General features: G+C 34.8%; 1 protein-coding gene across 5 annotated transcripts in view; it reads right to left on the bottom strand.

Moving 5' to 3' along the window:
• CCDC172 (coiled-coil domain containing 172) overlaps nt 1–17,956 on the bottom strand; it is a 55,582-nt gene that overhangs the window by 12,874 nt on the left and 24,752 nt on the right. For 4 of the 5 annotated variants that reach the window (NM_198515.3, XM_006717820.5, XM_017016206.1 and 1 more), the window contains 2 exons: nt 9,675–9,776; nt 9,218–9,320 (listed from right to left, as the gene is read on the bottom strand). In NM_198515.3, coding sequence (NP_940917.1) covers nt 9,218–9,320; nt 9,675–9,776 — 205 coding nt within the window. Of the gene's footprint in view, nt 1–60; nt 1,828–9,217; nt 9,321–9,674; nt 9,777–17,956 lie in introns of those variants that run through there. The other variant, XM_011539771.3, reaches the window with a different exon arrangement.

Raw genomic sequence — 17,956 nt, 5'->3', positions numbered from 1 at the left:
AGCAAAAGTAGGAACTCTTCAACTAGAACAGCCTAAAGCAAACAACAAAACCCCATAAAATTGGAGAAGATATTTTTAATTCATTAACAGACAAAATTCACAACTACTGAAAGAGCAAAACTTTAAAACTTCTGGAAATTAATAGGAAAAAGACAAATTACTCAAACAATCTAGTAGAAAAATAAGAGTTACTTTACAGAAAAAAATGCATGGATCATAAACAGATGCAAAAGATGCTCAACCATATACGTAGTCAGGACAAGGCCATTAGAGATCATGAAATACCATCTTATGTCCACAAGATTGGCAAAAACTAAAAAGTCTTTAAAAAGCATTGAAGAGGATGGAGATCAACAGGAAATTTCATAATGTGCTAATGAGAATATAAACTGGCTTAATCACACTGGAAAATAGTCTGTCGTCATCTTGTGAAGTTCAACATTCGCATGCCCCACACTCAGCAATTCCAACAGGCATCTATCCTGGAACAACTCTTGCATATGTGCACCAGCAGCACTGCTGGTGATACCAAAATCTTGAAACAAACCAAATGTCCATTAAAAAGAGAAAAAAATATGCTATGGTCATACATCTACACTCACCAACGTGGGTAAATCTTAGAAAAAACATTGAATAAAATACAAATCCCAGATAGTATAATATAATTTTTACAGAACTCAAAAACAAATACAAATAACCAATAGATTGTGCATGTATGTATAGGTTAGATGATAAATGCATGCTGTAAACTAAAGTTAGTTATATAATACTATAAAGAAAATTATATATACACAAGTAAATGAATCACATTGTAGAACGACATGCACAAGAAAATGAAATACAATATAGGACATCAACGATATCTGGGGTAATGAAGGGAGTATGGAATAAAAGAGAAGCCATAGCTAATGCAAGTTATCGGTAATATTCTAGTTTATTTCATGGATGATTATTTTTAGCTCATATTTAGCTCATATTTAGTTCACAGGTGCTCATTATATTAGTATACTTTAGAAATTACATATAGTTTACATATATTATTTTAAGGACCACTAGGGAATAAAAATATAATATTTATAATAAGGGTGGATGGTGAAATACCCTATTCAGTCATACATCGTTTAACAACAGGAAAATATTGTGAGAAATGCATAGTTAGGTGATTTTGTCATTGTATAAATATCATAGAGTGAACTTACACAAACCTAGATTGGATAGCACACCAGACACCTAGGCTATAGGGTATAGCAGATGATCATAGGTTACAAACCTGTACCACATGTTACTGTACTGAATACTGTAGGCAACTGAAACACAATGGTAAGTATGTGTGTATCTAAACATAGAAAAGGTGGAATAAAAAGTGCAGTCTTATAATCTTATGGGACCACTCTTAGATATGTGATATGCTGTTGATTGAAATGTCATTATGCAGCACATATGTATATGGAAGTTCACTGTGTTCTGTCTGAACTTTTAGGAATTTAATAGTAAATGAGAAATCTAAAGGAATGCTTAATAAGGAAAGATAAATTACTAATTTTAAGCATCATATATTTACACATGTATAAAAACCCTTGTAATAAATATTTTTAAAGAGTAAATGGAAAGTTAAGTGGAGAGTTACAATATACTATGGATGCTGCTATTGAAATGTACATAAGCCTTCTTTTTAATAAATTTATTTTTCAAATAAAATGGTAGAGATATTCCCACCATTCCATCAACACGTGCTCATCCATCTCTTCACTTCAAATGGACTACAGGTTCTGTATGACTTCTCATGCCTATCAGAATTAGGTGGTGACCACTCACCCTTTTAGTTACCTAAAAATAAGAATGAGAGACTGCTGAAATTAAGGAGGGCATGCAGAGCAAATTATAGGAAGTACTTCCCTATTTAGCATATAATCAAGCTGTAGAATTTAGATCTGCACTTAAAGAAAAGATTGCTGTTGCTAGCTTCAAAAGAGGCCAGATGATAATGGCATGAATATTAATACATTTGCAGCTAGCCAAAGCAATATAATGGTAAGTAGATCTCATGCTTCAGTGCATAGACTGATTGCCTACAGGAGTCAAGGACTTCCCTCACTCACTGAACTAAGGGCACTTTGCACTGGTTATTGTCACTTTTCTCTGAGTCATCAAATAATGACTATGATAGGCCAACATTGCTAATTAGTTTAGAAAAACTTATGTTCCATGTATTTTTATAATTTCCTGCATCATTACAAATTTTTTTCAGTTACCTCTCAGAGACATAGAAAACCCTTAATTAACAACATACTCATTTTAGCTACAGAATTGTACACACTACTATTTAAAGTAGAAAGGACAGATTTCACCCAAAGTCCTAGTGCTCAAATGCAATGCTGTTAAAATTTATGTATATTTCATTGCAGTCTCTAGTTTTCATATAAGTGATTATACAATTTTGCTTCCTAGTTTTGCTTTTGTGTGTATGTATTTGTGTGTGTGCTCAATGCTATTCTATATATTTCCCCCAGTTAACTATTAATTGCATACCAATTAATACTATTTAAGAGAAATATGTAGTAATTCTAGTGGTTACATCACTAATTAACATAATCATTTCTTATAACAGGGCATTTCAGTTTTTTTTTTACCATAAATAATATTACTATGAACACCTTTGTGAGCATAAAGCTTCTTCTGTACTTAGCATTGTCTTCCTTAGAATACAGCTCATAAATGGAATTATTGGGTCAAATGGCATAAACATTTTAAGATGCTTATAATAATTTGTTTGTCTTAAATTTCATTCCAAATATATCTAAGCATGTATACTGCCACCAGCCATGTATAAGTCATCTCTGCAGCACACACTTGCCAATTTTGATTATGATCATTTGATCTTTCAAAAATTGATAGACTAAATAATATTTAGTGGTTTTAATTTACATTTTATTGATAATCAGTATAGCTCAATTACATTGTCTTACTCATGTTGGTATCCCCAGCAACTAGCCTACTGTACGGTACAAAGTAGGTGTTTAATCCATGTTTGATAAATGCATGGATAAAGAACCACTAATTTAATGTTTTCTAATGGATTTTTATCAGTTGATTTTTTAACAAGCTGTTATCCTTTGTTTATCATAATGACTATAATTTTATTCCAGTTTACCATTTAATCTTGATGACTTTTATTGACACATGAAACTTTAAATCTATTATTATTATTTTTTTTTTTTTTTTTTGAGACCAAGTCTCGCTCCTGTTGCCCAGGCTGAAGTGCAATGATGTGATCTCGGCTCATTGCAACCTCTGCCTCCTGGGTTCAAGAGATTCTCCTGCCTCAGCATCCTGAGTAGCTGGGATTACAGGCATCCACCCCCAGCTAATTTTTGTATTTGTAGTAGAGGCGGGGTTTCACCATGTTGGCCAGGCCAGTCTCGAACTCCTTACCTCAGGTGATCCACCTGCTTTGGCCTCCCAAAGTGTTGGGATTATAGACGTGACTCACTGCGCCCAGCCGAAATTTTAAATCTTGTATGTTAAATTTATTAATCTTGTCCTTTTTGGTTTTCTTAATCACACTAGAGGTTTAATAAGTAGTTCTTCCTACTTTCCACTGGTTTTTCCATGGACTGACTTTTTACATATTCTCTATCTCTATATTAATTCATATAAAATTATTTTAGTGGCATTTAAGCACAAAATTATTCTATTTAAAGTACTATCAGTACTCCAATTTCATATATAATTTATTTCTGAAAGTGGGTATGAAAGTTGAATGTGTGACAGTAGAATTATCAGTTTTCTAATTCTGCTTTCCTTCAGTCCAGGCCAAGAGCAGATAGGTAAGAGCTTTCACAGGTGTGTAAGGCTAGACCAGAGGAATCTGCTGAGAAAGGGCTAGAAGAGGGAGCGGTCCTGCCAGCATCTCCCTTCCTCCAAATCCTGGTTGGTTGGGGTAGGCATCTCCTTTTACCACATATTTTCTGTCATCTTCCCAAACCCACACCAAAAGGGGTTGATTTATAAAGATAAACATAGGAAAATGAAAAAAGAAATCTGTATGACATTAAAGATACCAATGAATTTAGAAAATAATCACTGTAATATTTTGTATGGCTTGTATAATAAAATTATTTCACAATTTAGGGGAAAAGTTACATTTATATCAGAATATAACTTTTAAAATAATCAATGGAGTCTACCGTAAAAATTTCCTCTGTATTTGCTTTGAAGCTTTAATAACTACAGTATGTGCCAAGGATTCACAAAACAGGGGATCTCTATTAGCTTGAAGGCTACATAATCAATGCTGTAGAGACACTTCTGTTAGTGAATAAATGATGAAGTTTTACCAGAAAAGATGCAGAGTCAACAGAAATATTCAGCAAAATATAGAGCTAAAAAACAGTCCTGGAATTAAATGGGGATTCTCATATTTTATAAATGTTAAAAAAGATGGAGACAATATAGGTAAGGTACAGACACACAACTATTTGACTAATATTTTGAGGACACTGTAGAACTGAGATCTTGTTACTCTTGTCTACTTTGAGCTTCTCTGTTGTTGAAAACAAAGAGCAAAGATAATGTAGACTATTTTATAAATGGAACCTGGGTAACAATTCATATTACTCTACGAAATGCTGCTTATTCTAAATAATGTTACAGAAAGACTCTTGCAAGTATTTAAGGATACATTTATAAAAGTGTGTCTAATTATGAATATTTAGAAACTATCTTGTACATCCATTAATGAGAGACTGGTTATATAAATATGGCATCTCCATATAATAGCATGAAAAAGAATGAAGATTAGTACAAACTAAAATGAAAACATCTACATTTTGATAAATAATTAAGCAAACTGCAGACCAGTGTGATTCATAATCCCATTTTTGCTAAACACACACAGACATACCTATGTACATGTGTGTACACACACAAACAGAAATAAATTCTGACAGTATACACATCAAACTTTTAACAGTAGTCACACTTGGGGTGTCAGAGCAAGGGTATGAAAAGCGATCTCGGCTCACTGCAAGCTCTGCCTCTCAGGTTCACACCATTCTCCTGCCTCAGCCTCCCGAGTAGCTGAGGCTACAGGTGCCTGCCACCACGCCCGGCTAGTTTTTTTTGTATTTTTAGTAGAGACGGGGTTTCACCATGTTAGCCAGGATGGTCTCAATCTCCTGACCTCGTGATCTGCCCCCGTTGGCCTCCCAAAGTGTTAGGATTACAGGCATGAGCCACCACACCTGGCCCGCCTGTTCTCATAATAAAAAATATATACATGTGAAAATATACATATTTATTTATGTATCCTTGAAAGAGTTTGAAAACATGTTAATACCATATTGAGTTTATGCCTTCTTACAAGTCTAAGGACCAACAGTGTGACCTCTATGACCAACTTAACTAGATGACTTTTTCACTGAAGAGGTCACAGCACTGCTTTACTACATGACATTAATGCATTTAGAGTCTCTCGTAGCAGGTGTATATTAACTTTTGTGCAGCTTACATTGCAAATATGCTCTTCACAAACCATACTACCTTTTTTTCTTTTCATTTCTTTTTGTTCTTATTGCCCTGTCTTGTGGTGATGAAACAAAGCCACACCATCTTTAAGTGCTCAGAATGAAAATCTCATGCTGTTGCCTATGCAGATTTATTCCTAAAACAATCTTCCTATTGCATTAAACAAGCACAAATATCAGTAATACAAGATGTACAACCATTCTAGAAGGAAGTTTTGTGGTGAAAGAAAATTCCTGAAATGTTTAAAATTGTCTGTTATGTTATAATTTGGAGTAAATAAAAAAAATCATGATCAAGAACTGTGCATTTTGGTAAACCTCGTGTTGGGTAATAACAAAAAATAATAGGTTTGTGCAGTGGCTCACGCCTGTAATCTTAACACTTTGGGAGACTGAGGCAGGTGTATCACTTGGGGTCAGGAGTTCGAGATCAGTCTGGCCAACGTGGTGAAACCGTGTCTCTACTAAAAATACAAAAATTAGTCAGGCGTGGCGGTGCATGCCTGTAATCCCTTGCTCTGGGATACAGAGCAAGACTTTGTCTCAAATAATAATAATAATAATAATAATAATAATAATAATAATAATAATAATAATAGGTTTGGGGGTTTACAGAGGCCCAATATATAATACTCTTCTTTCCTGCCTGAAATCTGCCCAATCAAAAAATAAGAAAGGCAGAAGGCAAGCATAAATGTCACATTTATTACTGATATAGCAGATACTGGAGAATGTGGCTTAAATCTGTAGGCAAGGGTTTGCTAATATCAAACCCCAGTATTAGACTAACTTAACTCACACCATTAAAGGTAGCAGTGGACCCCACAGGCTTTCTCTTGTGGAGTCCAGCAATGATAAAACTTAAGAGATGGAGAAGCAGAGTGGGAAAACACGCTCTCTGAGGCAGGCAATGTTCCAAAGAGACAGGGAAAAGAAAGGGGCTGGGCTCCACATTTCCCAGTTTGCCTTTCCAGATTCACCGATCAGACTGTGTCACTCCTCTCCACATTAGGATAAGGGAATGAGGGACTAAGGGGAGGTCAGCATGATTAAACTTGTAAAGCTTTTTCCACATCGAAGAAAAAGATAGGAATGAAAATAATCCATTCCAAAGTGGCACTTTCCCAGTGGTTAGAATACATAATGTCTTTGCAAATAACACTGAAAATATATGAAGATGAACTTTAATCTTTTCGTAGTGAAAATTCAATTATATGTAGACTCAATTACGGGAACAAATATTTATTGAACACTATGTGCCCTGGACTGTGCAAGATGCAAAGAGTGAAAGAAAGATGAACCATAAGTGGGGGGAGAGCTGGGTTTCAAAAGGGTTTAACCACTATGCTTACTGCCTCTTAAGACTCTGATCTTTATTATTTCTGTTCTCCCTACACTATATGAAAAAACCAGATCAGTCATAATTACATACCTCTTTGGGAGGTTTCTGATAAATTAACCTAACCTATGGTTTAAGTGTAAATCATAGCAATATTCTATAAGTCAGCTGCTTAAATGTGTGTTAGTTACACACTTACTCTTCAAAACAGAATGTTTAAATAAACAAACATCTTGATATTTATAAATAGAGACAGATTATTTAAAGCAGAGACTATTATCATTCTGAATGTGAACCATTAAACCATTGTGAATGCAAACTTTACCTAAAGCAGAGACCACTAAACTGTGAAACACTGGTTCTCTACAGTAATGGATAACATCAAGATAGATTCCAACAAATAACCTGAACATGGCATATTAAGCTTTAAAACATGAACCATAATCGTTATAAAAGAATTTCAATATAGACAAAATAAAGCATGTATTAAAGTTGTCTAATTACTAAAACTAGAAACAGTAAGCTCATAGAAATGAATTAATATTAAAGATTTCCTCTGTAATTGCTTTCTTACTGGTTAAAGTTAATGAATGTAGAAGTCATAATAACCTTAAAATAAAGCTGGTTCTCAACTTGGGGGGACTTTGCAACCCCCTTCCCCAGCGGACATTTTGCAATGTCTGGAGACATTTTTGGTTGCCACAACCGGTGAATGCAGGGTGCTACTGCATCTAGTGGGTAGAGGACAGGGTTACTACTAAACATCTCACAATGCATTGAACAGCCCCCGACAACAAAGAATAATCTGGTCTAAAATGTCAACAAGGCCAAGTTTGAGAAATCCTGCTATAAAAATAACATCTACTCCATTAAGAAGTCAAACCCGACAAATTAAGAGAAATGCAACTATTATGGAATTCCATATACATTTGAACACAGAGATGAAAAAGACTATTCTATCCCAAAATTCAATAACAACATCAACTTAATTTTGGCCTTCATGATGAAGCTGAATCAATGTCTTATTGTTTTTTGACATCATTAGCTTCTTGTTATTGCATTAATTGTAAGACTGATAGTCCTCTTTCCTAAAATCTTTATACTCAGTACTTTGACTTCACTCTTCACACCTGGGAAAACTTATGAAACATGCTAATTGGGAAACTAAGTACACATATCAATGAATGAAAAAGTAGGAATTGATAAATATTGGCATTTAATTTAATAACTGCTAAAATGCAATGAATGGACTAAATATATGCACTGGTATTTCTTTCTATCCAAATTTCCTAAGTCATCATTTGTGAAGGAAAAAGCATTCTCTAACAGACTTTGTGTGTTTAATTTTAACCCAGAGCACATTTTTATGACTGAGTGATAAACCTACAAAACTGGAGTTCAGATTGGAAGCCCTCACACTACTAACTCTAATGACACCAGTGGGCATCACCATTTTTTAAAGTGCAAAAAAAAATGAATGAGCAGATTGTCATTATCAAAACTCATTCTGCATCATACATATCACCCAAGAGATTGATATTTTATGCTTATAAAACTTAACATAAAATTAAATTGCAAATATTGTCTCACAATCTACTAAAATTATTGCCTAAGGTAATACACTGCTAATATGAAGCATTTGTTCAGCTCTAGTGGACATATTTCCTATACGATTTATGTGAAAGAAGGCTTCATTTGCTTCTTCATAGATCCAGTAATGAGGTTTCTTTTCTTATATGAAACCTAGAAAGTGCAGGAACTTCTTTAAAATTAAGCCAGCAAAGGTAACACTAAATTGTTAATCAATGAGAGTCAAATTTTAAAACTTGAGGTCTTTACTCCTTGTGTTTATGACTATGTCACTTCAAATATCATACATTCATTATCCAAATGCATAAAAATCATCTAAATAATCCATACAGAAAATACATTTTCACTTTTTAAGAACAAAACCAGAGTAACAAATGTCAAGTAAAATAGCAGACTGATTTCCTCCCACCGCTGGAATCTAGAAAGATTAAAAGTAATTTCAATCATTTCCCGCCAAAAGTTAGGAATAACAGAAAGGAGAGTTGTCTTATCTCTTGGGATGTGAAAAATACTGAGTCTCAAGAAAAGATATAATTAATTTCACTATTATCAGTCATCAACCCAACGCATCATGAACTTATGTGTAGCACTTTCTAGGCCCTGAAGTGTTTCCTTATTAGCACGTGTCAGAATACACAGAGAAGAAAATAATGTCCTCATCTGGAACTTCAAATTAATAATTGATGCACTTAGCTTTATACTGAAATCTATTTAACTTGAAAAATTACCTGATTTAGGCCAAAATATAACAGGAAACTCTTACCTTAAGCATTCTGTATCATTTTGAGGCTTTTCACTGATTTTTATTTTTTCTGCCTCTAGATATTTGGTAGTACAAATGGATTCATTCTCTTCATCTTCAAAAACTAAACAAATCAAAAAATAGTTGCAATCTTTTGAAAATTAAACATAAAGATTATCTTTATTCACTCATAAGAACAGTACTCTAATTTTTGGTGCTTGCATATAAAATTTATACACTAATGATTTTTATTTTCTACTTTAATATAGCAATTACATGCACAAAAAAGATCTTCAAAAAATTTGTGACATTAAAAATATCAGATCTCACGTTGATTAGTGTTTTATCTATTTCTTTTTTATACCAATAATAGCACTATATCACAACAGGTTAATATATTTTAAAAGAATAATATGCCCTTATCATGCATATATAACTATATTTATCAGCAAAATAAGCTAACTCATGAAGGTAATACCTTTAAGTTTTCTTTGGAGAGTAAATAATTCTTGTATCAATTCACTCTTTTGTTTTTGAAGTTCATTTAACTGGCTACTATCATGTTCCATTGACTTCATTTCTAGAAACAGATACAAAAGCATCAAAAATAAAATACTTAGAAATAAATTTAACCCCGGAAGTAAAAGACCTGTACACTAAAAACTATAAAACACAGATGAAAGAAAGTGAAGACAACACAAATAAGTGAAAAGATATCCATGTCTATGGATTGGAAGAATTAACGTTGTTAAAATATCCATACTATCCAAAGCAATATACAGAGTCAATGCAATCCCCATGAAAATTCCAATGGTATTCTTCACAGAAATAGAAAAAAAATCAATCCTAAAAAATCTAAAAAGAAATAGAAAACTAAACAAATGCAAAAAATCTATTTTAAGCATTTAAGCTTTGCCTTACGTCAGCAATTATTAACGTTTTCTCATGTAGTAAAAATCTAAGCAGCATACGGTTAATTTTAAGCTCCAACTAGCTTCCCCTGGCCAACTAGTAACTCTTTTTAAGAAACTGACCAGAACTTATTAATCACCAGCTGGATACAAAAGGATAAGTTAGTAGATGGTTAGCCTACCAAAAGAGAATTCAAAATATGTAATATCACTTAGTGAAATAAAGTTCCAAATAAGAAAACTATCCTTTATAATTAAAACACATTTAAAATGACATTGCATAGTACTCATAATATGGCTACAAGCTTTCACAATATTGCTAATATTGTTTCTTCTACCTAAAATGCCCTTGCTCCCTTTATTCTCATGACAAATCCCAATTCATCCTTTAAGACTCATCTCCTAAATTTTCAAATATTCTTTCTCTTCTGCCATAATTTCTGGAACTCCACTTACACATTTTATTAGATTCTTTTATGTTGTTCCACATGTCTCTGAGCAGCTTTTTAGCTTTTTGAAGTCTTTTGTTTCCCTCTGTGTTTCCATTTTTTAAGTTATCTCTAAATTCACTGGTCTCTTCTTCTGCGGCCTCTGATCTGCTCTTAATCTCTTCCAGGAAATTTTTCATATCAGGTTTCCTTCCTTCCTTCCTTCCTTCCTCCCTCCCTCCCCTCTTCTTCCTCCTCCCCCCCTTTCTTTCTCTTTCTTTTCTTTTTTTCTGAGTGGAGTCTTGCTCTGTTGCCCAGGTTGGAGTGCAGTGGCGCCATCTCGGCTCACTGCAACTTTTGCCTCCCGGGTTCAAGCGATTCTCCTGCCTCAGCCTCCTAAGCAGCTGCGATTACAGGTGCTCGCCACCATGCCTGGCTAATTTTTGTGTTTTTAATAGAGACGGGTTTCACCATGTTGGTCAGGCTGGTCTCGAACTCCTGACCTCGTGTTCTGCCTGCCTCGGCCTCCCAAAGTGCTGGGATTACAGGTGTGAGCCACTGCACCCGGCCCAGATATTGTATTTCCTAACTTTTAGAGCCCCTTTGGTTCCTTTTACAAACAGTTTTTATTGATACATAATTCACATACCACATAATTCATCCTTTTAAAGTATACAATTCATTGGGCTTTAGTATTTTCACAGATATGTGCATCCAATTACCATTATATAATTTTGGAACATTTCACTCCCCCCACCAAAGAAACTCCATACCTGTTAGCAGTCATTCCCAATTTCCCCTAACTCTGCCAGCCCTAGGCAACCACTGATCTACTTTCTCTATATACAGATTTGCCTATTCTGGATATTTCACAACAATGGAATCATACAATATGTGGTCTTTTGCATCTGGCTTCTATCACTTAGCATAATGATTAAAAGGACTACCCATTTTGTAGCATGTTTCAGTGTTTCATTTATTTGATGCCTGAATATAATTCCACTGTATATATATGCCCATATTTTGTTTTTGGATTCCTCACGTGATTGACATTTGGGTTGTTTCCACTTTTTTGCTACTACGAATAATGCTATGAACATTCATGTACAGCCATGTGTTGTTTGACAACAGGGATATGTTCTGAGAAAAAAGTCCTTATGTGATTATGTTGTTGTGAGAACATCATCAAGTGTACTCACACTCACTAAGATGGGGTAGCCTACTACACACATAGGCTATACTGTATAGCCTATTGCTCATAGGTTACAAACCTATACAGCATGTTACTGTACTGAACACTGTAGGCACACCGTAATAAGCATTTGTGTATCTAAATATATCTAAACCTAGAAAAGGTACAGCAAAAATACAGTATAAAAGATAAAAAATGGTATACCTGTGTAAGATACTTACCATGAATGGAGCTTGTAGTACTGGAAGTTGCTTTGAGTGAGTCAATGAGTGGTGAGTGAATGCATAGGCCCACGACATTACCGTACACTGCTCTAGACATTATCAACACTACGCTTAGGCTACACTACTTTAAAAATATTTTTCTTTCTTTGATAATAAATTAACTTTCACTTTCTTTAACTTTTTAAGTTAACTTTTTAAAAACATTTTGACTTGTAATAACACTTAGCTTAAAACAAATATACAGTACAGTTGTAAAATATATTATGTTTTACTTCTTAAACTTTTTTTGTAAAAAACGAAGACACAAATACACACAATTAGCCTAGGCCTACACAAGGGTGGGATCATCAATACCACTATCTTTGACCTCCATAACATCTTGTCCTGGAAGACAAGCCCCTACTGGAAGGCCCTCAGGGGCAATAACATGGATGGAGCTGTCATCTTCTTTTATTTATTACTATTATTATTTTTTGAGACAGAGTCTCGCTCTGTCACCCAGGCTGGAGTGCAGTGGCATGATCTCAGCTCACTGCAACCTCCGCCTCCGCCTCCTGGGTTAAAGCAATTATACTGCCTCAGCCTCCCAAGTAGCTGGGACTACAGGTGCATGCCACCATGCCCGGCTAATTTTTTGTATTTTAGTAGAGACGGGGTTTCACCATGTTGCCCAGGCTGGTCTCAAACTCCTGAGCTCAGGCAATCTGCCTGCCTCAGCCTCCCAAAGTGCTGGGATTACAGTCGTGAGCCACCATGCCTGGCCTGGAGCTGTCATCTTCTATGATAACAATGCCTTCTAGAATAATTCTTACAGGACCTGCCTGAGGCTGTTTTACAGTTAACTTTTTTTACAGTTAACTTTTTTTAATAAGTAGGAGGAATATACTCTAAATAATAATTATAAAAAGTATAATAATACATAAACCAGTGACATAGTCATTTATTATCTTTAGCAAGTATTATGTACTGTACATAATTTTATGTGCTATACTTTTATATGACTGGCAGCACAATAGGTTTGTTTACACTGCGATCACAAAAACATGTAATATGTTGTGCCACAACGTCACTAGGCAATAGGAATATTTTCAGCTCCATTATAATCTTATTGCACCACTGTCATACATGGTCTTTCATAGACTGAAATGCTGTTATGTGGTGCACGACTGTACAAGGTCTTGTGTGGACATGTTTGTAATTCTCTTAAATACCTGGAAGTGGAATCATTGAATCATATGGTAACTCTAGGTTTAATGCTTTGAGAAACGGCCAAACTGCTTCCAAAGCAGTTGCATCATTTTACATTTCTCCAATTTCTCCATATTCTTGCCAACACTATTGCTGTCCACCTTTATTATAGCCACACTAGTGGTATCTCATTGTGGTCTTGATTTGCCTTTCCCTGATAACTAATAATGTAAGCAACTTTTCATGTTGCTTAAAAAAATACATCGTACATTTGTATAAAAATATTTTTTTTCTTTTTAAACTATTTACACTCAAACACATATAATTAGGCTAGGCCTACACAAGGTCAGGATCATCAATACCACTGTCTTTCTCCTCCACATCTTGTCCTGGAAGACAAGCCCCTACTGGAAGTGGCTTTGTATAGCTTTTTTGGGAAACGTCTATTTAATTCCTTTGTCCATTTTTAAATTGGGTTATCTTTTTATTAAGTTGTAAGAGTTTTTAATATATTCTGAATACAAGTCCCTTATATATGATTTGCAAATATTTTCTCCCATTTTGTGGTCGTCTTTTCACTTCCTTGATAGTATCCTTTGAAACACAAGAGTTTTTAACTTTGATGAAGTCCAATTTATCTATACTTTATTGCTTGTGCATATCTAAAATAAACCATTCCCTAATCCAAGCTCATGAAGAGTTACACCCGTATTTTCTTATAAGAGTTTTTCATTTTTAGCTCTTACATTTAGCTGTCTGATCCATTTTGAGTTAATTTTTGTGTATGGTATGAGGTGGATGTACACATTTATTCTTTTTTTTTTGAGATGGAGTCTCGCTCTGTCGCCCAGGAAGGAGTGCAGTGGCGCGATCTCGGCTCACTGCAAGCTCCACCTCCAGGTTTCATGCCATTCTCCTGCCTCAGACTCCTGAGTAGCTGGGACTACAGGCGCCCACCACCATGCCCGGCTAATTTTTTGTATTTTGAGTAGAGACGGGGTTTCACCATGTTAGCCAGGATGGTCTTGATCTCCTGACCTCGTGATCCACCCGCCTTGGCCTCCCAAAGTACTGGGATTACAGGCATGAGCCACTGTGCCCGGCCTTGTTTATTAGCTCTAATAGTTTTCCTGTAGATTCCTTAGGTTTTCTATATACGAGATCATGTTATCTTTGAATAGAGATAGCTTTACCTCTTCCTTTCCAATATGGATGCTTTTTCTTTTTCTCTTTTTTTTTTTCCTAATTGCTCTGCCTAAAACCCCCACTATAATGTTGATTAGAAGTTGTAAGAGTAAATATCCTTGTCTTGTTCCTGATCTTAGAGGGGAATATTCATTCCATTATCATTAAGAATGACATTAGCTGTGGGTTTTTCTATAGATGCCCTCTATCAGATTGAGGAAAGTCCCTTCTATCCCTAGTTTATTGAGTGGTTTTATCATGAAAGTTGTTGAATTTTGTCAAATATTTCTTCTGTGTCTTTGGTTATTTTTATATCCTCCATTTAGTTCCTCATTATGCTCATGTCCTTGAGTATACTTAGAATATTCTAAAAGCTTTAATTATTTTTCCTTCTAATTGCATCATCTATATCATTTCTAGGTATGTTACTATTGACCAAATTTCCTCCTTGCTCTGAGTTGTAATTTGCTGCTTCTTTACATGTCTAGTAATTTTTGACTGTATACCAAACATTGTGTTTACTATTTTGTTAAATGAGTTTTGCTGTCTTCCCATAAAGGATGTTGATGTTTGTTTTAGTAGGCAGGTAAGCTACTTATGGGTCATGTGCAAATCTTGTTTATAAGAATTTTTTAGGGTAGGTCTAGAAGAATATTTAATTTAATTTAATCCTTCTATTAAGGCAGAACTCTTCTGTTTAATGAAATATTTCTATTGTGACAAGATGGAACATGAATGTCTTCCATTCCCATATGAGCTCTTAGAATTGTCCACCTTATTGCTCCCCAGTAGTTTTTCTTTACTCAGCCCAGTGGGGTTTCCTGTCTGTATACACAGGTTCAAGTACATCCAAAGACTCAAGAGGATCTCCATCCAGATTTCCAGAGCTTTTTCTCTGTGTGGATCTGTCCTCTCAAGTACATTGTCCTGAAAATTCTAGCTAACTTGGCCTCCCTAAATTCCAATCTTTGTTTCCTCAACTCAGACCATTTTGCATTGCTTAAGTTCCTCCTCCCAGTGCTACTATCCAAAAACTATATCCAGTGAGAAGGCTTGGGCAATTAGGGCTTACCTCATTTGTTTCCCTTCTCTCAGGGATCGTGGTCCTGTACTCTCTTGTCCTCAATATCTAAAAGTAGTTTCTCATATAATTTTCTCCAGTCTTTTAGTTGTGATAGAAGGGAAAATTCCATAAAATTATTCCTCATGACGATACGTAAAAGTTCTCCACATAATATTTAAATTATCCTTTTACTTGTCTCTCTTCCACATTAGATCACAAGCTCCTTGAAAACAGGAACTATGCCTCATTCATCTTTAAATCCCAATTTCTGAACAGTGCCTGGTGTAGTATATACAGTAGATGCTCAAGAAAGCATGTTGAACAAAACTAAAATAAATCATATAATTGACTTTAAATATTTTTGATTATTCACAATGTTTCTGTCCACTAGTGTAGGTAACTGAAAGTGGACAATTCAATGAAAAGAAAATACGTTCATGTTTATCCTTCTGCTCCCTTAATAAACAAAAGTTTAAAATATAAATATAACTACATATTAATATTCAATAGAGGGAATCCAGGATACCATAACACAATATTCAACAGATTAAAAAAGATACAATATTTTATTCATTATTAATTGATTTATCAGACATTCTATCACAAGAAAATCTTTGTAAAACTTAGGCAAGAATGATGGAGAAATACTGGATTTAAGTATTTCTGAAATATATCTTTCTTAATCCTGACACTTTAGCCTAAATGAAAAAGGTAAGTCTAAAGATTAATCCTTTAAAGAAAAAAATAAAACAAATATGCCAATTTCTTATCAGGCTTATAGAACAGAAAAAAGTAAACACTGTGTTTGTGGTGATAACTTTTTTTCCTACTTGTTTATTGCCTCACTATTATTTTATTGTTATTTTTATTTACAGCTTTATTTAGGTATAATTGATGTGGCAATCACTTTTTAATTTCTTCCACGGCCTAAAACCCACAATGTTCTAATCAACAGCTAGCTTTTATGGTTATGAATATTAAACCAACTAAGACAATCAAAATTAATTTACATCTTTTAACATGTGAATTGTCTTCCTCATATGTACATTGCCAATCATTAAAGGATATTGCCAAGCAAAGAAAAGTGTCATATATTGCTTATCTCACATCTAAGAAAAATGAATTCAACAACTCGGAGAAATGAGTAAGAGGAACATTTTGAGAAAAACATTATGACAACCATTATTTTGAAGCCAAAAGTGATGAACTGTTTTATCTATGAATTACCAAATGTTTAAAATAAATATTCATTTTACAAACAGATATATTGAATATCAATTATTCCACATTTCTAGTTTCTCAGGCCAAAAACCTTAAAGTCAACCTTAACACTTATTTCTCTCATATTCCACATCAAGTCCATCTTGAAATCCTCCTTGCTACCTTCAAAACATATTTAGAACCTGAATACCACTTACCACTTCTATGCTGCATCCCTGATCCAACTGCTCATCATCTCTCATCTGGATTACAGCCACTGTCTTCTAGGTTTCCGTTTCTGCTTTTACCTCCCTTAACTGTGTTCTCAATAGCAGTCAAAGTAATCCTATTCAAATGTGAGACCCTTCGCTCTTTTGCTTAAGTCCTCCAATGGCTTCTCATCTCACTTCAGTAAAAGTCTTTAGAATGACCCACAAGGTTTTAAATCTGGATTCCTGTCACCTCTCTGATCTCATGACCTCTCCTTTAACTCTAAATGCCTTAGGCTCTGCTCTTTCTCAAAAAATGATTAGGCACAATCTCCCTTCAGGTGATTTGCATCAGCTATTCCTTCTCTGTGAAATGATATTCCCCCAGGTATTCACTTGTTTGATTCCCTTACCTCTTTCAGGTCTTATTCAAAACTCGCCTTATTAATGAGGCTTTCCCTGGACATCTATGTAAAACTGTACCACACACCCCACTGCAACCCCACCCCTTATCTATCTATCCCTCTTCCCTCCCTTATTTTTCTCCACTCCCTCCCTCTCTCATACTGGAATGTAGGCTCCATGGGGGCAGGGATTTTTTTCTTCTTTTCTTGGTCACTACAGTAACACCAGGTCCTATAACAATGCCTGATACACAAAAAGTGCACAAGTATTACTGAATGAGTGAACAAACTAAGCACATTTCAGAAATACATTTGTAAGCAAATGTAGTTCCTCTCTCTGTGAAAATTTATACTTTAGTGGAAGAAACAGACAGGAATCAAATAATCATACAAGTGTGTAATTACAATGCTTTGAAGAAAAAGCACAGAGGGCAATGAGAGAATATAACCAGAAGAGCTGACCTAATATGGAATTGGGAGGGTGGAGTATCACAGAAGGATTTCCTGAAGATGTAACATTTGAGCTGAGATCAGAAGAATGAAAAAGTTAACTAGATCACCAGTCCCCAACCTTTTTTGGCACCAGGGACTGTTTTTGTGGAAGACAATTTTTCCATGGACCACGGGAGGGAGAGGAGTGGCTTCAGGATGGTTCAATTGCATTACATTTATTGTGCACTTTATTTCTATTTTTATTACATTGTTATCTATAATGAAATAATCACACAACTCACCATAATGTAGAATCAGTGGGAT

This window comes from Homo sapiens, chromosome 10, assembly GCF_000001405.40.
Source record: "Homo sapiens chromosome 10, GRCh38.p14 Primary Assembly".
Lineage (NCBI taxonomy): Eukaryota > Metazoa > Chordata > Mammalia > Primates > Hominidae > Homo > Homo sapiens.
Note: the sequence above shows the minus strand (reverse complement) of the source record. Positions and strands in the feature narration are given on the sequence as shown.